Consider the following 21,354-nt stretch of genomic DNA (forward strand, 5'->3'; position numbering starts at 1 on the left):
TACCTCTGAGATAATACTTCATCTTCATTATTTGTTTTTGTATTCAGAGCAAATGCTGTCCTTTTTCAAGATGGGGAGCACAATTGTAGATAATCCAAAAAAGGGTAAAATCTGTAAATAAGTTCTGTCCAACTTCAGAATATATCAGGATATATGAGTTGCTTTTTCTGATTCTTTCCAGCACAAACTATTATTAAAAGGAGCTCAGTTTCAGAAGCTTTCTCCACGTGCTGACAGGAGAAAGACATCCCAATGTCCGTTAGGGGACCATGGGGGCTGGATGAGCATAGAACATTTGCCATAGAAAATCTAGACACTGGTGTCTGAGGGTCTTAACTGTACAGCCCTTGCTGGGTCCTTCAGCATGGTGGACAGAAGGGAACAACTAATGAATGCTTATCTATTATTATCTTTGTTCTTTTTAGGCAGACAAATTTCAGATGTATGTCACCTACTGTAAAAACAAGCCTGATTCCAACCAGCTTATCCTGGAGCATGCGGGCACCTTCTTTGATGTAAGCTGTGTTTTCCATTCTTGAGCAGCTGATGAGCAGGTGGAAATGCTTCTCTGCTTTGGCATAATGGATGGATATTTAGCTATCCTTTTTTCCTAATTTTTCTTTACTGGCCACTGCAAACCTTAAGCATGGAAAAAAAGCAAAAACAGTATATGTCTGTATTTTGTTTTATCTCATCCTATCTTGACCAAAGTGATTTTGTACGAGGCAAATTTGTCTCCATGCCTCCACACCAAACCTAGGAAGTCATAAAGCACATGTTTAGAGGAGGGCCACTATGATGCAGTTGTTGATTAATATATTTCACTTCTGCTTCATATACAGCTCTCACAAATGTAGTGTTTCCGAAAGTGTGATCCTTGGACCTCAGTCCACATCTATTAAATCAGAATCTCTTGCGGGGAGCCCAACAACCTGAGTTTTAAGGAGGCCTCTGGGTAACTGAACTCCACTCAAGTTTGAGAATCACTTCTCTAATGCAATTGATTCAACCTTTTTTGGAAAAAAAAAACTGATATCTGAATCCCATGCCTGAGGTTCTGCTATGATTGGCCTGACTGTGGCCTGAGCATTGGGATATTTTAAAGTTTCTGGTGAGAGTGATGTGCAGCCAGGGCTGAACACCTCTGCTATAATAGAAGCCAGGAGAAGAGTGAGGCTGATGTGCCTTGTCAGATCCTTTGGTTTGGAATTATGACACAATCCTGTTGGCAAATGGTGGGATCTATAAAGCCAAAAGTGACCTATTGGCTTTACAGTAAGCAAAATCAAAGGGGTCCCTGCAGGATTCAAAGGATGAATAAGAGGGAAAGATGAAATTGGGGAAAAAGAAAATTTAGTGAGAGGCAGACTATAGCAGTGATGGCTATTTTGGCAGTCATATCAGAAGTGACAGAAACTAGAAACTCAGCCCTTTTTAAAGGTTATCTGTCTATATGCCTACCTGTTTTCATTTTTTTCATAAATATTTGGATGTCTACTTTATGCAAGATAGTGGGCTAGGCCCCGTGGAGAATATAAAGACATTTAAACATGGTCCTTGTACTCAAGTGTGCAAAAGAAACCTTCCCTGAGCATCTTTCTAGCCTGGCACTGCCTCAACAGAAATGATCCTACAAATGTCTTGTTGCTCAGTAAAGAAATGACACTTGAATGGAAGGAAGCCAGATGAGGAAAAATGCACATGATTTTTTTAATGGAGCATTAATATGGAAATGGCTCTATGTATCCCACACTAGAATACCTGGGGTTAGATTTGGAACCACAGAAGAACCCAAGAAAAGTGCTCCTCTCACCTGATATTATTGGGTATCATATTGGATGCCCTCTGCCACCATTACCTCTGAGTGAGAATCTTTTTCCCTTAGGATGCTTCTGTTGATTATTCATGAACAATATCCAGAAGGGTCTTTTTGAAGTTTTAAATGCATTGTGTCCTGTCTTCCACTTAGCACTTTTCTGACATACATGTCCTGTGCTCTGAGCATGTCTCAAACTCTTCTGCTTCCTGTCTTTGCTCACACCGCTCTCTCTGCCTAGGATAGATTGTGTCCTCTCCACACAACACAAACACACAAACACACACACCCTTCTGTCTCTCTCTTCAAAATTCTTCCTATCCATTAAAGGTCACATGCTGCTTCCTGCATGAATCCTTTCCTTTGTACTTTGTATCTTTGTTATAGCATTTGTAATGATTTGCCTTTTGGCAGGTGAACAATGCACCTTTCTGTTACTCACATCTCCCTCCACCTGTGAGCTCCTTGAGATCTTATGCCTGATTCATATTTGTCACATCTCAGTGCCTGGCACCAGAATGTATTTTCCCTTAGTACTACATACCTCGCATCCCCATTTCTAGCCAATTTCTAGGCTTTGATAAGTCAGATATATCCCCAAATTTCCCACCCTATACCCCGTTTCCAACATAGTGCCTAGTGAGCTTCTACATTAGTTGGAAAGACTGATGGAAGCCACAAAACCAGTCCAGTAGGAGTTCTTAAAGTCTGCCCTGGAAGCGGGGACAGAAGACAGTAAACTCTCCGGATTGCTTTCAAAACTTTCCAAAAGGCATAATCTTTGCAGCTTATTTTCATTCCATCAGAAGAGTTTCCCTAACTTCTACACTTAGGAACCATCTGCTTTAGGCCCTCATTCTATTGCTTTCAAAACTTTCCAAAAGGCATAATCTTTGTGGCTTACTTTCATTCCATCAGAAGAGTTTCCCTAAGTTCTACACTTAGGAACCATTTGCTTTAGGCCCTCATTCTATAAATGAGATAAACCCTTAATAAAGGCAGTCACCTAATATCCATTACTGTAAAGAGAACACAGAGAATTAAAGTCCTAGAAAGGCTTACACATTCACACGATCCAGAATTTTTTTTTTTTTTTTTTTTTTTTTGAGACGGAGTCTCGCTCTGTTGCCCAGACTGGAGTGCAGTGGCGCGATCTCGGCTCACTGCAAGCTCCGCCTCCTGGGTTCACGCCATTCTCCCTCCTCAGCCTCCCGAGTAGCTGGGACTACAGGCACCCACCACCACGCCTGGCTAATTTTTTGTATTTCTAGTAGAGACAGGGTTTCACCGTGTTAGCCAGGATGGTCTCGATCTCCTGACCTCGTGATCTACCCGCCTCGGCCTCCCAAAGTGCTGGGACTACAGGCGTGAGCCACCGCGCCCGGCCGATCCAGAATGTTTGACCCATCACACAGCATGGGTGTGATGTCTAAGCTTGGTTTGACTGATGTAGGCCCCTCCCTCTCTGCTCCACATGCAGCTTTCCTTAAGCTGGGCTTTTCATCAGAGAGGAAAGAGTGCCAAAGGTGCACTGTTGCTTGTGCTTTCTTGCCAAAGCTCCCAGATAAACTCACAAGGTTCAGTTGCCTGAAGAGAGTCAAGCTGCATCTGTTTTGCCCATCATCCTCAAACAAGTCTTGCAAGTACACACCTCTGGGAAAGAGGCAAATGGTGACAAAATTGCTACTTTCTGGGATAGAAATCATTTCTGATAGGCATTGGAATAATTTTTTAAATTATTATTATCTCTCCTCCACCCTTCTTCATAGCCCCATAACAAGTCCTATCTAGTCCATCTTTAAAATATTTCTTTTATTCTTCCCAATGCTTTATTCTCACTAATTCTAGCTTAGGGCATGCCCCTACATTGCATACCTGGACCTACTTTAAAATAACAGCTTTATTGAGAGATGATTTCAGAGATCATACATTTTTCCCATTTAAAGTATGAATTCAGTGTTTTTGTGTGTGCGCTGACAGGTATGTGCAACCATCCCTTCAGTCAATTTTAGGGCACTTTTATCACCTCACAAAGCAACCCTGTATCCTTTAGCCATCACCCCCCAGCTCTCCACCACAAACCCCAACCCACAAGCAACCAATGATCTACTTTATGTCTCTACAGATAGATCTGCCTTGCCTGGACATTTCATAAAATTGAGTCATAATACATGGTCTTTTGTGACTGGTTTCTTTCACTTAGCATAATGTTTTCAGAGTTCATCTGTGTTGTTGCATGCATCAGAACTTCATTTCTTTTTATGTCCAAATAATATTTCATTGTATGAATATTCTACATTTTGTTTTTCCATTTATCAATTCATGGATGTTTGGGTTTTTCATGCATAGATATATATTTTTTATTTCTCTTGAGTATATACCTAGAACTTGAATTGCTGGATCGTGTGGTAACTTCATATCTATACACCTGGGCTTTTGCAATAGCCTCATAACTTGTCTTTCTGTCTCTATTTCTCCAAGATTTACCCCCATGTTGCTGTTAGGTATATATATTACTCTTTCTGAAACATTACTTTCATCATGTGTTTTTTTCTCTTTTTTGTTGTTTGTTTGTTTATTTGTTTGTTTTGAGACAGGGTCTCTCTCTGTCATCCAGGTTGAGTGCAGTGGTGTGATCATAGCTCACTGCAGCCTTGACCTTCTGGGCTCAAGTAATCCTCCCACCTCAGCCTCCCAAGTAGCTGGGACTACAGGCACGTGCCACCATACCCAGCTAATTTTTGTATTTTTTGTAGAGATGGGATCTGGCCATGTTGCCCCGGCTGGTCTTGAACTACTGGATACAAGTGATCCTCCCGCCTCGGCCTCCCAAAGTGCTGGGATTACAGGCGTGAGCCACCATGCCCCGCCTGTTTTTTCTGTTTAAGATCTGTGATGCTTTACCATTGAAAAACTTACCATCATATCCTAACTCTTTTCTAACTCAAACCCATCAATGACCCAACCTTGCATATCTAACTGTATTTTTCACTTCTTATAGAAGGTGGGTGTGCATCCTCTGTACCATTCAGTCATGGTCCTCATCATCATCTAAACACACAATGATTATTTCAGCCGATACAGTTTTGTGTTTGATGTAAGTGAGTGTCATTCCTCCAACCTTTTACTTAACCCACCCCCACTGCCCACCTCACCTCTTAGCCCCAGGTGAGGTTGAGGCCTTATCTCTACTAACCACCCGGCCACTCCCAACCCCAGTAATCTCTCAATTTTTATTGGCTATACCATTTCCTCTATTGTCTTTTGTTGATCTCTAGTTCATGTGCGTTGAGTATTCTCATCTAGACTGTAAGCTTTTTGAGGGGAGGGAGAAAAATATACCTTTCTCTGACCCTTAGAACCCCTAGACTTTGGGGAGTAGAAGATCATTTTGGAGGTAGGATAGAGAGTAGATTAAAAGGAGAGACTAGAAGCACAAACAGCAGTTGGAGGCCACGGCCCTAGCCTGGGCATGAGTGATGAGGGTGATGTCCCTGGAAATGGAAAGGAAAGATTTGTCACCAGGGATAACAGAGGAGAAATGACTAAAATTGACTCCATGGTTTCTAGCTTAGGAGACCTGAAGAATGAAGGAGGTGCTATTTATCACAATGAACATTTATAAGAAATAAAGTGATGACCCTAAGTTGGGATGTGTTAAATTTAAAGAGAAGGATGGTATTAATAAAGGAGATATATCCTTGTGCTATTTTAAGGAGACTGAAGGCAGGGAAACACTCCTCAGGAGCCATCAGAATAGATGTCAGAGCCTCATTCTCTGCCTTCCCTGTACTCTCATCTCCCCTTTTTGGAACTGATTTCCTTTTACTCCTACTTCATCTCTCCTTACCCTCCGCTCTGTTATTTACCTTATTGCTCTCTTTTCTACTGTTCTTTTTCTCCATTTTTGCTCAATTTCTATTTGTTTCACACACTTGCTTCTTTCCCTAATCCTTCTCCCTTTTTACTCTCTCTCCTATTTTCTCTATATGCATCTTGGTCTCTTTTGTTTCTCTTTTTACTCCCCTCTCCCTATGAAAGAACATGTTCTCATACTTGTCTACCTTTTTCTCTTTCTTCCTCTCTTCTGACCCCTGCCTTTCTCCTCTCAGAGTTCACACACATGCACACACCCCTCTGTGTCTAATTGCACATTGTTCTCATCCCTGCAGGAGATACAACAGCGGCATGGTCTGGCCAACTCCATCTCTTCCTACCTAATTAAGCCTGTCCAAAGGATCACCAAATATCAACTGCTCCTGAAGGTACCTCCCCTCCCCTCTACATCCCCCTCCACTGCCTACTGCCTGGGGCAAGGGAGTCCCAGCTTTGGCCCCTAAGGATAGGAATGCTTCCACCTGAAGACCTTTCTTCTACCTAGGGCAGAACTTCAGCCCACACTGGCATCGCTGTCCTATCCCATGGAAATCCAGATGCCTATTTTAAGGCAGAAGGGGGAGAAAAGGGAGCAGGAATAAGTTGTGACTATTTTCTCATCTACCTACCACTGCACAGCTTTTAGCAATTGCCTTCTCAGGCACTGACTGGCTCCTAGAGGCTTTCTTGTCCCTCCTTACAGAAGCAGATTCCTCCTGGTAGCCCCTGCTTTTGATGAAATCAAGAGGCAGAGTCTTGCCAGGCACAGTGGCTCATGCCTATAATCCCAGCACTTTGGGAGGCTGAGATGGGCAGATCATTTGGGGCCAGGAGTTTGAGACCAGCCTGGCCAACATGGCAAAACTCCATCTCTACTAAAAATACAAAAAATTAGCCAGGCATGGTGGTGTGCACCTGTAATCCCAATTACTCGGGAGGCTGAGGCAAGAGAATCACTTGAACCCAGGAGGCGGAGGTTGCAGTGATCCGAGATCGTGTCACTGAACTGCAGCCTGGGTGACAGAGTGAGACACAGTCTCAAAAAAATAAGAATAATAATTAATAAATAAATAAAAGGTCAGAGTCCTAAGGGCAGTGCCAGTTTACATGGGTAGTCGAGGCCAGGGTGGCACCTACCATTGTCTGTGTTTGTCAAGACGATGAGGATTTTGAGGGAAAATAGTCAAAGGGTACATATTAAAACACAAGGGTATTCTTATATCTGTAGGTTCTCGCATGTTAGGGGTTCTTCTGGAGCCAACCAAGAGATTTGGATTTTCCTTCAAAATCTTATCTTTAAAAGTTAAATAACCAAATATGCAAAACACTAAGTAATTTGGGTTCATCCTTGTCATATAAGAATGCATTGATACATTGAAAATAATGTCATTTCCACAGAAAGCCTGGGGAATTGACACAAGTAGTTAAATAACCCCCATCTATATTAATACCTAAAGTTTAGGGGTAGAGTTTTCCCTCATTTGAAATATCCTGCTGGTTGCTCCTTTAATGCAAAGATAAAGGGATAGTAGGGGACATGTTATAAGTACATTGTGTAATTTCAGAGAAAATCTGATGTAATTCAGCTCATGTTTAGAGATGTCTGCAAAAACTTGCATAATCTCATTTCACTGAACCTGAAAACCAGTCTAATTTTAAATCTGCCATTCTAGTCACACTGGAGTGAGTCCACCATTCCCAGCCCATGGAATCTCCCTGGCTTAGCACTATGAGAGGCGTGAGGGCAGCAGTGCAGTGAAGGTGCAGGAGGCTGTGCCCTGGTAGGGTTTTCTGTCCTCTGAGTCAGAGTGGGGCCGTGCCACATCATTTCCCTTCAGCCTCATCCCTGCAATTCTTCTCCTTCCTCATCTCCAAGAAGAGGCTACAGACATCTGCTTCCAGTGCTCCAGCCAACCAACCCTGCAGAAATGGCTTAAAGTGTTACAACTGGACATCACACCCTCGGCCTTTCCTGAGGACTAGTGTGAGAAAAGAGTGTGCAGCCACCCCAGCTGTCCTGACAGAACTGCTTTCCCTTCTTTGTTTTTTGAAATTTCTTATATGAAGACATAATAAATTCTTGTGAGATCTCAGGACAGGGGTGTAGGGAATCCTCTCTCCTGAGAAATGGGTATACGTTCTATCTTTAGATGACAGCTGCATAGGCCATTCTTTACGTGTGGCTATTAGAAAGTTAGCATTGAATTTTGTGGTTGCTTACAGTAGAATCCCTTAGCCCAGATTTTGTGTGTAATTATCTTCTTCTTTCCTATCCCACTTGATGCTTGGCCTTTTAAAATTATTTTTCATGGTCGGGCATGGTGGCTCATGCCTGTAATCCCAGCACTTTGGGAGGCCAAGGCAGATGGATTGCTTGAGGTCAAGAGTTCAAGACCAGCCTGGCCAACATGGCGAAACCCCGTCTCTACAAAAAATTAGCTGGGCATGGTGGTGTGTGCCTGTAATCCCAGCTACTCAGGAGGCTGAGGCATGAGAATTGCTTGAGCCTCGGAGGCAGAGGCTGCAGTGAGCCAATATCATGCCACTGCACTACACCCTGGGCAACAGGGTGAGACTCCGTCTCAAAAAAAATAAATGAATAAAATAAAAAATGAAATTATTTTTCTTGTGCTAACAGACTTAAAAAAATTGATTTTTATGGTTTTGAATGTATGTATCCCACCCAAAGGTTGTTCAGGAATTGGTGGGGTTGTGAATTTAAAAAGGAAAAACAAAAGGAAAGAAAGACAAACCAATGCTGACTCAACTATCCACACTGCCAGTGTCTTAAATCAACTAAGATGCAGTTCTAAAAGAAATATAGCTTTTTACCTCTCCCTTTAACCCTGTAAGGTGTAAGCCCCCTAGGATGAATTATGTGGCATAGACAAGGGAGAGAAGTTGAGGATGGAATAGGCTTGTGTTTTGCTGTGGGCAGTCGAAGGAGTGGGCTCTGGACCTTTGTTCGGGAATTGAGTGTTTTAGGAAGAATTGCCTATAGAGGTAGCTAAGAAGTGGAAAAATAAAGTGGCAGGAATTTGATTGTGAGGAAGTCATCAAATTATTTTTATTTTTTTAAGAAAATAGGCTGGGCACAGTGGCTCACACCTATAATCCCAGCACTTTGGGTGTCCAAGGCAGGTGGATCACTTGAGGTCAGGAGTTTGAGACCAGCCTGACCAATATGGTGAAACTCCGTCTCTACTGAAAATATAAAAATTGCCCAGTCGTGGTGGCGTGCACCTGTAGTCCCAGCTACTTGGGAGGCTGAGACAGGAGAATTGCTTGAACCCAGGAGGCGGAGGTTGCAGTGAGCTGAGATTGCACCACTGCACTCCAGCCTGGGTGATAGAGCGAGACTCTGTCTCAAAAAAAAGAAGAAGATAGTTTTGGTCTTTTTTAAATGTTCTGGTGGCACAGTGCCTGCTGAGTAAGAGAAAAACAGTTTGCTGAGCTTTTACTATAAATAATATGGGATTTATTTTCATAAAGTCAGTTTTATTTCAAATACATGTATATTTAATTGTCAGTATCCTCTGGGTTCATCACTTTAGGTATGGCGTGAAAGTAGAAACTTTACGTCAGAGTGCTCAATATTCTTCATGTAAATCTGCTGTGGCTTTACAAAAGGATCCTAAATTAAATGTGGAGCCTTCTCCTTATCATAAAGTATAGCAAGGATCAGGGAAAATTTATTGGCCCAGCTGGTAGATTGGTAGACTTGCTAAATTGTTTTGGGCAGGGGGGGATTAAACTAATTCATGTTTTCTGTCACAAATTGAAGCATATTTCTTGTTTTTTCTCTTATGTTTTGCCTCAGGATTTTCTTTGATGATATATGAAAATAAGATTGGGAAGGTTAAAATAAGGAAAGGGGTGGGAGAATCTGAGAACTTTAGGTTGGCAGAAGTAAATACCACTTTCTGAACAAGGGTGACGTTATACTGACTGGAGCCAAGGGCAAAGCTGAGCACTGATCACTTCTCCCTCTCAAACATGTGCTCTAGGGGGTGCACTTCTTCTTTGTACACTCAAAGCTCCCTTATTCCTAGGGGAATGTATCCAAGGATTGGATTTTTCGATCAAACCCTCACTAATTAGATATCTTACCAAGTATAAAGCTTGACTAAAAATTTCAAGGATACAAGTAATTCCAAGACAGAGGTGACACAGGAAAGGGCCAGGACCACCAGTGCAGCTCCAAGCCCTTTCTTGCAGCCAGGATGTGCTGCGGCCAGGTTGATCTACAAGGTCTGTAAATTATGTATGTCACATTGTATCACTTGCCCTGAAGAGAGCCAATTGGTCATGAAAGATATTCCCTTTTTACTTAGATAGTTGCATAGCTTATGTGACACCTTCCAGAGAGCTATGCCTCTAAAGCCACAGATTCTAGGATTGTTTACCATAAGAAGCCCTAGACAGACCAGATTTATCCTATTAAAAGCATTTCCTAGATAAGTCCTCTCTTGCTAGCAAGTACCATTAGGTTATTTGTCAAGAGGTCTGTCATTAACGTGTTTACAAGATTTGATCTGGTGAACTTCTTTATTTCTGGGAAAGGCACCTCCACTCAACATGCATCCCCTGCCCCCTCGAGGAGAGAGTATGGTTTGCAGATCTGTTGCTTAACCATTCCCTTCTCAGTGTCAAAGGGAGCAAGATACAGTGACCCTGATAGGAAAAATGAAAAGCCAACATTCTTCTGGTTTGGGCAAAAATCATTCCAAGTGGTCTTATGATTCTCAAGATAGTTGGAAATGATCTTTCCTCCACCAACCAGATACTATATATCTTTTATGGGGATGGTGATGACTGAGTCTCCAATGAGGAAATACAAAAGAAAGGACACACTCCCCAGCTCCCCAGGAGGTAAAAGAAAGAGGGTATTGCCCCTGGAAGCCTCAATGGGGGACAGAATATAGGAGAGACAGGGTTGATGTGGTGGATAAAGTGCCAGACTTGGATTCAGGAGACCTGGATTCAGGCCCCTGCATAGCCTCCACTGAGTTATATAACCTGAGGAAAATCACTTCATCTCTCTTAATCGCACTTACCTCATCTGACAATGAAATAGCCTAGAAGCCCATCTATTGGCCCCAGATTAGGAACTCCTGATCCATATGATCTAAAAATATTTTATTACTCTGGGATGTCATAAGCCTATTAAGTCTCCAACCTCAAGTTGTTCCCAGTGGGATGGAAGTCAGCATTCAGGCTGTAGAGGCTTGTAAATAAAAGTGGTGTCAGCAGTAAGCATGCAGGGATATTTGGGTACTGCATAGCACACTCTTTATCTTCCCTTTATCCTCCTCATTCTTCTCTTTATTCTCTTTATTGGATTATACAATACTGCACCTCTGTTCACGTGCTTTGCCAGGGTAGTCCCTTCTCTAAGAGGGCAGTCCAGTGACAGAGAATGCCTCAGTTGCTGCCTTACAGGTCAAGCCATTTGGGAGTTGGGTTGGATTGAGTTAGTTTGGGCTAGATTGGGCTGAGAATGCTCAGTGTGGGAGAAAAATAGTGCTTGAATTCTTAGAGATAACCCCTTTTACCCCACCTCACTTTCTTTATAGCTCAGAGGGAACCATTACAGAGAGCGAAGCTGGTCTATAATTTCCTTGCTGGGTTAGGTGGTGGGAGGAAGCTGGGGGAGATGGCCCTAATTATGTCCGGACTTTTTTTTCCCCAGGAACTTTTAACTTGCTGTGAAGAAGGGAAAGGGGAGCTCAAGGATGGCCTGGAGGTGATGCTCAGTGTCCCAAAGAAAGCCAATGATGCCATGCATGTCAGCATGCTGGAAGGTAGCTGTCCTCCCAGCACTGGGGAAGCCTCCTCTCTTCCTTGACACGGGGGAGCTTGTATCATGGGAGGGAAGTGGCATGAAGTTAGACAAGGTGCAAGGCTGGAAGAGAGAAGAAATGACAAGTAGTTACATAGGCCCTTGTCATGTGAGAGGGGCTCCACAAGGACCAATTTGGCTAGCACCCTGCTTCTAGGAAGGACCAGGCCTAAGCCACTGGAGGTTATGTGGACATGTTGCTGCCCATGAGACAGTCCAGGACAGGCCATCACCCTCACTGTTGATGTGCTAGAGCTTCCAACCTACAGCAGTCTTGTTAGTCTGCATAGCATCTGCATTACATTGCCTTGGTCATCACAATGAATAGAAAGCCTGATCACATAAACACACACAGACACACATACACACAAAACATACCATCTTCAGCCTTATGCTCTTTTTTTGTTATTATGGTAAAATATACATAATATGTATAACATAAATTTACCATTTTAACCATTTTTGAATGTACAGTTCGGTGGCATTAAATACATTCACATTCTTGTGCAACCAGCATTTTGTCCTCTAGAAGGTTAGTAAGTCCAGCCAAACAACTCTGATAAGACTTCAGTCAGATGAAGCTATCTTCTTGGGACCAGAAACCTGTAGAGTAAGATTCCAATAAAGTGGTCTTAACACTGCAGAATGAGTGGGCAGAGCAGCCATACTGGGGTGGAATTTGTTAGATGAGTTAAGATTTAACATTTTTTTGGGAGGCCAAGGTGGGTGGATCACCTGAGGTCAGGAGTTCCAGACCAGCCTGGCCAACATGGCGAAACCCCGTCTCTACTAAAAATACAAAAATTAGCCAGGGGTGGTGGTGCATGCCTGTAATCCCAGCTACTCGGGAGGCTGAGGTGTGAGAATCGCTTGAACCCAGGAGGCAGAGGTTGCCGTGAGCTGAGATCGCACCACTGCACTCCAGCCTGGGCGATAGAGCAAGACTCCATCTCAAAAAACAAAAACAAACAAACAAAAAGACTTAACATTTTTAATGGGTGCTAAAGGAAATGTGTATAGTCTGTTGCAAATATGTAAACACGTGGGCTGTTTTTTCTCTTCTGGACTCCATCCTACTCCGCCAATACCACCAACACCACCTTGGGAGACTTGATACGGTCTCCATACTTCCCAGACCATCCTTAGCACCAGAAGCCTCAATTCTTAGAGCAAAGGAGCCCTGGCTATTTTCCCTAGGCTGAGCAGGAACCATCTCAATGTATTCCTGTTGACATTTTTCTCCACTCCTTTCCTCTCTGTTTGTACCTTCCCCTCCACCCCACCCTGGAAGTACCTGCAAGTACCCAGCTCCTCCAGTCTGTCCCTGACCTATGCTCTGGATCCAGCTACTCCATGCATGGTCTGTTTACCAGCAGCAGCAACAGCACCTGGGAGCTTGTCAGAAGTGCACATTCATGGACTCACCCCACACCTACTAAATCAGAATATCTGGGGAGGTTGGAGGGTGGGCAGTAATCTGTGTTTTCACAAGCTCTCCAGGTGATCCTTATGCACAGTAAAGTTTGAGAGCATCTCTTAAAAACTTCAAGTGGTATAAATATAAACTGTTGAAGGCTTGTGCAAAGTAATCAAAGGGAGGAATTCTAGAAATGGAATATAAGAATTAAGGTAGGTCAGGCACAGTGGCTCATGCCTATAATCCTACACTTTGGGAGGCCAAGGTGGGAGGATCACTTGAGCTCAAGACCAGCCTGGGCAACATAGGGAGACCTTGTCTCTACAGAAAATACAAAAATTACCTGGGCATGGTGGCATGTACCTATGACCCAGCTACTTGGGAAGCTAAGCTGGGAGGATCACTTGAACCTGGGAGTTCAAGGCTGCAGTGACCCACGATCATGCCACTGCAAAAAAAATAAAAAATAATAATAAGAAGAATTAAGGTAATGAATGACACATAAAGAGGAGCTGAAGACACTCAGTCAGGCAGTGTTTGTCCTCAACCCCACTCATAGCTACAAGTCAGGAACAGTAGAAAGTTGTGGAGGACAAAGGAGCTATGGGATTTGCCCTTGCAGGAGGCCAACTGTGGGTGTGTGAAGGTGTGAGGTTGCATAGGACCTTTGCAGGAGATTCCACTAATATTGGTTATGTATATAAAAGACATGGTGCAGGAAGGGGGCAGGAGAGATCTAATTGCAATTCTCAGAGATGTCTATGGAAGTGTTCAGCAGTCTCTGGAGTTAGCAGAGAGAAAAAAACCCTTCAGTAACTGAAGACTAACAATAAGAGAGGCCTTTCTCCAAGAGGGGGGTGGAACATGGCCCCCTGACTGTGGCAGTAGAGAAACTCCACAGGGTGGAAATGGATGTTTTTCAGGGTTCGACGAGAACCTGGATGTGCAGGGGGAGTTGATTCTCCAGGATGCCTTTCAAGTGTGGGACCCGAAGTCGCTGATCCGGAAGGGGCGGGAGCGGCACTTGTTCCTCTTTGAGATCTCCTTGGTTTTTAGCAAGGAGATCAAAGATTCTTCAGGACACACGAAATATGTTTACAAGAACAAGCTACTGGTAGGTGGGGCAGGTGGGGTAAGACAAGACTCCCTGCTTTCATAGAACCCATGGGCAGGAAGGGATCTGGACACACTCATCTCATCTCCTCCCCGGCCTCCACACCAAAACCATCCTGGACAAATGAAAATGTCTCCTATTTGGAAAGCACCCCACTCACCTCCCACGTCTGCATTGTAGAGTTCACAGTTCTTCTTTCTGTTTGCTTTTAGCACCTCCCTCTTCACCTTCCCTCCCTGGTACCTGCTAATCAGGCACGTGCCTGTAGGTCCTTTCATCCTGGGTAGATGAACAGAATATCCAATCTGTTAAAGTTTGATTGACAGAAGCCCCTCCCTCGGTCCTCTCCTCTTTGTTGCCTTTCCCTTCCCACCCCAGCCCTAAGTTTCCCCACTGCCCTCCCCTTCCCCGCCTCTCATAGGCATTTCCTGTCTACAGACCTCAGAGCTGGGTGTGACCGAGCACGTGGAGGGCGATCCCTGCAAATTCGCCTTGTGGTCTGGGCGCACCCCATCCTCAGACAATAAAACAGTGCTGAAAGTAAGTACTGCTCTCTGCTAGGCACAAACTAGGGTTGGGGATAATAGAAGTGGGGGTGGGCAAGTGACACCTCAAAGCTAAGGCCCAGAGACTCTACTGAGCCATGGGCCTCTTTTGGGAATGGCAGCATCACGTGGGCATTGAGAAGCAAATTCTATCATGAAAGTAGACCCAGAATCTCAAAGACGCATGGTCTCCTCAAGTGCATGCACATGTGTGACCAAGAGGGAAGAAAGCAGGGAGTGGCTTGTGGGACCAGCTCAGCAAGGCCCGCTTAAACTGTGCTCTGTCCGTATCTCTTCCTTCAAGTGGCAAGAACAATTGACGCTTTGACAAAAGACACCTTGATTTGCTCCACATTCATTTGACATTTTTTCCTAAATAACTTCCGTGTAAAAGGTATAGTGCCTAGTGTGGTGGGGGATAACTATGTATAAGATATGGACCTTATTCCCTGGGAACCTACATTCTTGAACCCCTACTAAATCACATTAGCATGGGGACCATGCTGATGGAGAGAAATGTCAAGAGGGAGCCTTTCACCAGAAGACGGCCTTGAGGAGTCATTGCAGCTCTCTGGGGCACAGCAGTGATGTTAGCCTGTCTGAGCAGCGATAATGCAGATGATGAAGTTCCCAGCAGTCATTTGCTTGTCAGGAAAGTGCCCATCACCAAGGAAAAAATGGTCCAACCCCGACAAAAGCTTCACATGTATTCACTCTGAACTGCCAGCATAGCTGCTACCTGTTGTGAGGCAGAATTACCAGAAAAAAAATTCTACCAAGACAAATGGGATCATCATAAAATGATAGCAGTGCCTTTAGTTAACAGAGCTTGCCACAAACCCAGGACTGATTTCTAGTCAGTACAAGTCTGTGGAGCCATGCTAGGTGAACATCCTGACATATATCCATACTGATTGGGAAGTAGATGCTGCCCCTCCCAGTGCCCACCAGACCTCCCCAGGATCTAGCAACCCAGGTGTTAATCCCTGTCCCAGGGGGAACTTCCAGATACTGTTCCACCTCCAGGGCAGATATCAGGATTGGTCAGTGCCTTATGAGTTATGAAATACTTTGACAGTTACTCCCGTACAAGTAATTCTGCATTGAATCTTGAGGTCGGAGCACTGTTCTGGGAGTTGGAGAAGCCTGTTTCTGGTATTGAAGAGTCATAAGTATGAAATGAGAAATAAACTCCCCAGACATTTGGAATCCTTGAAAATAACAGATGAAGACTGCAGGAGGGTTGAGAACTGTTTTTGGTAAGGTGATGGGAGTTGGGGTTCTCAGTCTTTCTCCCTGTGGCACTCTAGGCCTCCAACATTGAAACCAAGCAGGAGTGGATCAAGAACATTCGAGAAGTGATTCAAGAAAGGATCATTCACCTGAAAGGAGCTTTAAAGGAGCCACTTCAGCTCCCCAAAACACCAGCCAAACAGAGGAACAATAGTAAGAGGTAACCAGCACCTCTCCCTCCAGCACTGCCTGCCTCACAGGCTTCCGGGTGCGGGAATGGGATGAATCTTTGCTTCTGAAGGGGGATGTGCCCAGCAGGTGGCACTCTCCAGGAAGGCCTGTGAGTTCTACCTAGGATGAGTCATCTGATCTTTAAGCATCTCACTAGTGTCAAATTCAGCAGGGCTTCATTGAGCACCTCTTATATGATAAACACTCTGCTAGGTTCTACAAGATAAAAGGAAGTGTAAGATGAGTCGATTCCCTTAAGAGCCATCTAATAGTCATGTCTGACACATGAAATAGACCAGAAGAACCACGTATAGGGATCATAAATTCTATAAGAATTCAAAGAAAGGGGACTTTAGATGAGTCCTAGAGTGGAGGAACTCTCTGGACTGGTTGGATAGTCAAAGGGCTTTGTGTACTGTAATGTGTGGAGTGGTGGTTTCATTGCAGGTCTTACTGCAACCCCCACAGAGACCTCACCTTCATTCACCTATGATAAGCAACGTCATTGGGCAGAAGAGGACTTATATCTTTCTGGATGCTTCTGAATCCCAGTTTCCTCTAAACCCATGGATGACTTCTTAAGTATTTCTTTCCCAAGTCTCCATGTGACACCTACACTTACAATGACTCTTTTGGGGGACAGTTCCAAAGAAAGCATACAAAAACTTCACGTACATTTTGAAGAAAAAAAAATGGGGTTCTAGCAGAGATGGCCATTGGTGATAACAGGTTCTTCCCTCCTCCCCTGTACCTGAATGGAATAAATCTGGAGGATTTAGTTGACCCTTAGGCACCAACCAGGACAAGCAGGGTAGGGAGCCATTTCAGGGCCTATGAAGCCGCAGCAGCATTGGTCCTGAGTGAGGTGGTAGCCAAAAGAAGGGTGTGACTATGGTGGAGAAACCTCCATGGGGCGGAAGCCCCAAGACCTGCATGACCAGGATAAGTTCACCTCCTCAGTGCTGCATGGACAAATTATAACTGCTCTGGTGAAGGGGTCATTTTGATGCCAGTTATCTATGTCCAGAGTCCAGGTAAGGAGGGGGTGGACTAAAGTCTAGCAGTGGAGACAGGCCATGCCTCAGGGAATCCCTACTTTAATAAATAAATTAGAAAGGAAACAATTACAAAGAAATGATGGTCTAGGATCATAGTGAAAGAGGATACTCAGGTGAGGCTGACTAGGCTTATTTACCCTGACATAGCCCCTTTTTCCTATAGTAGGAGAGTTTGAGCATTTCCAGAACATGGGAAAGGCATATCTTGGAAATGCCCCCACCTTTTCTCTGCTCCCACCTTTTCTCTTGTCCTACAATGGGTGGGTGAGAAACCTTGGCATACTCTGCAGAGAATAACCAAGCAGTCTTTAATTCCGTTATCTTGGATTCCTGGATATGGGGACAGTTTATAGAGGAGTTCATTGGTTGGGGAATACTACCCACAGTCCTAGGTGGCCTCCCCACATCCCCCCAGAAGTGGCTTCACCTGGAGTGGACCAGAAGGGCCCACCATGGGCCAGAATAGCGGGAAGCAGAAAGTACAGCCAGCTCTCAACTGTCTACACATGGTGGGGAGCGCTGGCCCAGATAATCCAAAACAACAGATGATCTAAAAGTCCTTTATTTTTGGTTTTGAAATGCGTCACATAAAGTCTTTTTACAGCAGATTTTCCTTCCTATGAATGTGTGGCTTATGTTATTAAAATAAATTGGCATTTCCCAAGCCCACAAATGATGGTGAGAGAGCAGTTGACTTAGAAATGTTCTGGATGGGAGAAAATACTTTTTATGATGAATAGACATTGTGTGTATACATGTGCACATGCATGGGTACTTGCATACACACACACATCCACATACATTCACACATACACCAGAGTGCAATCATTTAGACCCTTTGAGGTGAATTCGTTATTTGTGGCACTTTGTTCATGTGGTAGGATTCTCAGGCTTTCAGTTTCCCTGTCCCCTGATGCCATTACTTCTCCACAAGCAGCATCAGGGTATCTTTTATAAAAGCCCCCTGGGGAAAAGCTGTCATTTCCTGTGCTAATTCACCCAACTCCAACTCCACATCTCCCCCAGCTTTTCCTGGCACAGACCTTGCAGCCTTCATCAGTTTCCAGACATGCAATCCCTTTTGGCCATGGCTGTGGGCTTGGTACAGGATGGGGGCACAGTTCTACAGCTGGAGAGCTGAAAGAACATGGGGACAGCTGTGTGGTCCGGGGCCCAGGAAGGGGTCTAAATGCCAGGAGTGCACTCAGGAGATGGCCTTAGCTGACACACAGAAGCACAGCTGGCTCCAAAGCTGCTGTGGAACCTGTGACTGTTCACCAATCTTTGAGAAAATGCCTTGGCCTTCTGTATCGATAAGAAATCATTATAAACATGCATGAGATCCTCAAAACCCAGCCAGATGAAGGCAATAAATTCCTTCTCCACACCCAGGAGTTGAAGGTCTAATATCAGGAATTTCCCAAAGTTAATATCCCCTGGAGACAATATTCCACACAACCTGTTTTCTTGAACAGAAGAAACTCAAGTTTAAAAGAAATCTTGGCCGGGTGCAGTGGCTCACACCTGTAATCTCAGTACTTTGGGATGCCAAGGCGGGCAGATCACCTGAGGTCAGGAGTTTTGAGACCATCCTGGCCAACATGGTGAAACCACGTCTCCACAAAAAAATACAAAAATTAGCTGGGCATGATGGCAGGCACGTGGAAACCCAGCTACTTGGGAGGCTGAGGCAGGAGGATCACTTGAGGTGAAGGTTGCAGTGAGCCAAGATCATGCCAGTGCATTCCAGCCTGGGTGACAGAATAAGACTCCATCTTAAAAAAAAAAAAAAAAAAAAAAGAAGAAGAAATCTTGTCACTTCTGTTTTCTTTATAGGCCAGCTGTAAATGAACCCTCATCTTAATTACAGCATGTACAAAAACTTGAATACCCTGAATTTGGGATTATTAAAATGACCTAATCACCTGGATAGAAGCCTAGGCTCTAAGTAGGATATATATCTTCCTACTGCCTCTTACAGACCCGTTCCCAAGTGTGTGTATGTGTATGTATGTATATATATATATATATATATATATATATATATATATATATATATATACACACACATATATACATACATACACCCCCTCTGCAGCATGGGCTGGAGGAGTTTTGGGGAAGGGGGTCATTTTGCATTTAGTTATCAACATAGTGATTATGTGTTTACTAAGTGCAAGAAGTGACATCACTGAAAATCACATAGGGCCACTCTCTTTAGCAGGATAATTTTAGACAAATCCCTGCTAGAAAGTGCTGAGGCGCTGCTCTGCCCACCCAACCGGAAATCCTTGTGTGCTCTAAACCCACAGTGGTTCCCCCCACCCCCACCCCTGTTTTTTTTCTCTTCTTCCTGCAGGGATGGAGTGGAGGATATTGACAGCCAGGGGGATGGGAGCAGCCAACCAGACACCATCTCCATTGCTTCTAGGACCTCTCAGAACACAGTGGACAGTGACAAGGTAGGACAGAGTCCTAACCTTCCTTCCCCTGAGACTTCTTGATGGCTCAACCACCCCTGGAGAGGTACCCCTAGAGAATTTCTCTCACTATGGATCCTACCTTCAGGAGCCAGTTGTCTCTTTGTGCCAGCCAAGGAGGAAAGAACAGGGCTGGAGGAGGCATGTCCCAGCACGAGATCTGGTCTGAGGGGATGGAAGACTGCGGTGGTTCAGGCTGACCTCTCACACTGGGAGAGTTTAACAGAAGTGGGAAGGCTGAGCAGTGAGGGAGTCTAGGTTTCTTCTCTTTCTGAGATGCCCCACCTGGGCTTCTTGGGCTGCTGTGCCTTCTGGGGGGATGGATCTCAGTGAGGCTGAGTTGGAATAGTGTCCTGAGACCTTAGTGGCTGTGATTGGCTCAAATTTACAGTGATTTGAGAAGAGCTCATCTCAAAGTTAGACCAAGATTAAAGGTTTGGGAAATGGCCACAGAGATGCTGTTTGGTAGCAGCCTGTTATCCAAAGGGACTCTAGTGGAAATGATGCTTTCCTCTGGCCAGATTATTGGGGCTCAGTTGCTGAGAGACAGGAGGACCAGGAAGTGGTATACGAAGGGTGTAGTTGTTGTGTGAGAAAGCCTGGCCACTTGCTTTCTAACATTTTGGAGCAAGTAAGCAAAAGTTAGTAGCTCTGATGGGAAAGCAAAAGAAAAGAAACTGTAGCAAAGGCTCTGTGTATCTGCCCCAGCTAGGTGAGGAATGCAACCGCCGGAATTTGTAGCAGGGGGAGGAAAGGGTCCATGTCTGAGCCTACTCTCATTTGCTTACTCTAGAATCCAAAGAGTATGAGATGATCTTTTGTTGCCTCTTAGTGATCTTATTAATGAAGTTCTGGGTTTCCAAAGACTATTTGTCCCTAGTTTATCCAGACCTAGTATTTTGGCCTGCTCCTTCAGGCTCAGACAGCAGGCTGTGTCATTGCTTCATCTTAGTTTTCTAAGTTATAGGTATTTCTTTTAAAGATGATCTGCATTCATTAGGATTTTTCCTATTTTTTCTTGCTGGGAGAAAAAAAACCATTGAGACCTTAGTGTGGGGACTGTGCCCCGAACCTGCTGAAATTATGGTGCCAAATCACCCTAATCATGCTTTAGACTAGTGCTCAAGGTCATTCAAGGTAATTCTGACAACTGCCCTCAAGTTTTTAAGCCATTTTCTACTGACTATCAGAGTGGATGGAAAATTAGGTTTTTTTCCACTTGTGAAAACATACAATGAAAAACCATTTCTGTAATTTCCTGTCTCCTCTGACCTGTTGTCTAGAAATATAACCTAGTGTTCCTAGTGTATAAAAAGTGTTCCTCTTTAAACAGTCAGTGGGTGGTAAGTCAAGTGCAGTGTTTCCCATGTTGAGACATAGATTATTAGTGTCATGGTCCAGGGAATTCATCCCTTCCAGCTGCTAATCCATCTTCCCAGCAGCTCTGACTTTGACACAGACCCCTATGCTAGAGCCATTTGTTTTAGGAAGACCTCAGCTCCAGCTATTCCTTGTCTTTCTGGCAAGGTATGTGGGGCTGGACTAGAAGACCTTTGACGGCAGCCATTTTACTATTAATGAGGGGTCCTAGTACTTAGACTTTATTCTACAAGTAAGGAAGCAGGCTCAGAGAAACTAAGTGAGTCACCCAAGACAATTCTAGTAGTTAGTGGGAAGGCAGGAACTAGAACACAGATCTCCTGATTTTTCGTGTTTTCCCCCACTCTGAAAGTCAAAGCGTT

The 21,354-nt window shown here is 44.2% G+C and overlaps 1 protein-coding gene across 40 annotated transcripts in view, besides 1 other annotated feature; it reads left to right on the forward strand.

The window, feature by feature from the left end:
* The window catches only part of KALRN (kalirin RhoGEF kinase), a 692,957-nt gene that overhangs the window by 443,451 nt on the left and 228,152 nt on the right, over positions 1-21,354 (forward strand). For 37 of the 40 annotated variants that reach the window (XM_006713810.4, XM_017007429.2, XM_011513279.3 and 34 more), the window contains 7 exons: positions 426-515; positions 5,989-6,081; positions 11,385-11,496; positions 13,875-14,065; positions 14,504-14,605; positions 15,921-16,063; positions 19,492-19,594. In XM_006713810.4, the coding sequence (XP_006713873.1) occupies positions 426-515; positions 5,989-6,081; positions 11,385-11,496; positions 13,875-14,065; positions 14,504-14,605; positions 15,921-16,063; positions 19,492-19,594 (834 nt within the window). Of the gene's footprint in view, positions 1-425; positions 516-5,988; positions 6,082-11,384; positions 11,497-13,874; positions 14,066-14,443; positions 14,606-15,920; positions 16,064-19,491; positions 19,595-21,354 lie in introns of those variants that run through there. The other 3 variants (NR_170953.1, NR_170952.1, XM_047449165.1) reach the window with 2 other exon arrangements.
* Positions 13,861-15,060: an enhancer, noted in NCBI's record as "MED14-independent group 3 enhancer chr3:124209527-124210726 (GRCh37/hg19 assembly coordinates)". NCBI's record gives its function as "activates an origin of replication core promoter dependent on BRD2, BRD4, P300/CBP and CDK7 cofactors, and independent of MED14, by STARR-seq in HCT116 cells {active_cell/tissue: HCT116}" and the evidence as "EXISTENCE:reporter gene assay evidence [ECO:0000049][PMID:35650434]".

This window comes from Homo sapiens, chromosome 3 (genome assembly GCF_000001405.40).
Source record: "Homo sapiens chromosome 3, GRCh38.p14 Primary Assembly".
Lineage (NCBI taxonomy): Eukaryota > Metazoa > Chordata > Mammalia > Primates > Hominidae > Homo > Homo sapiens.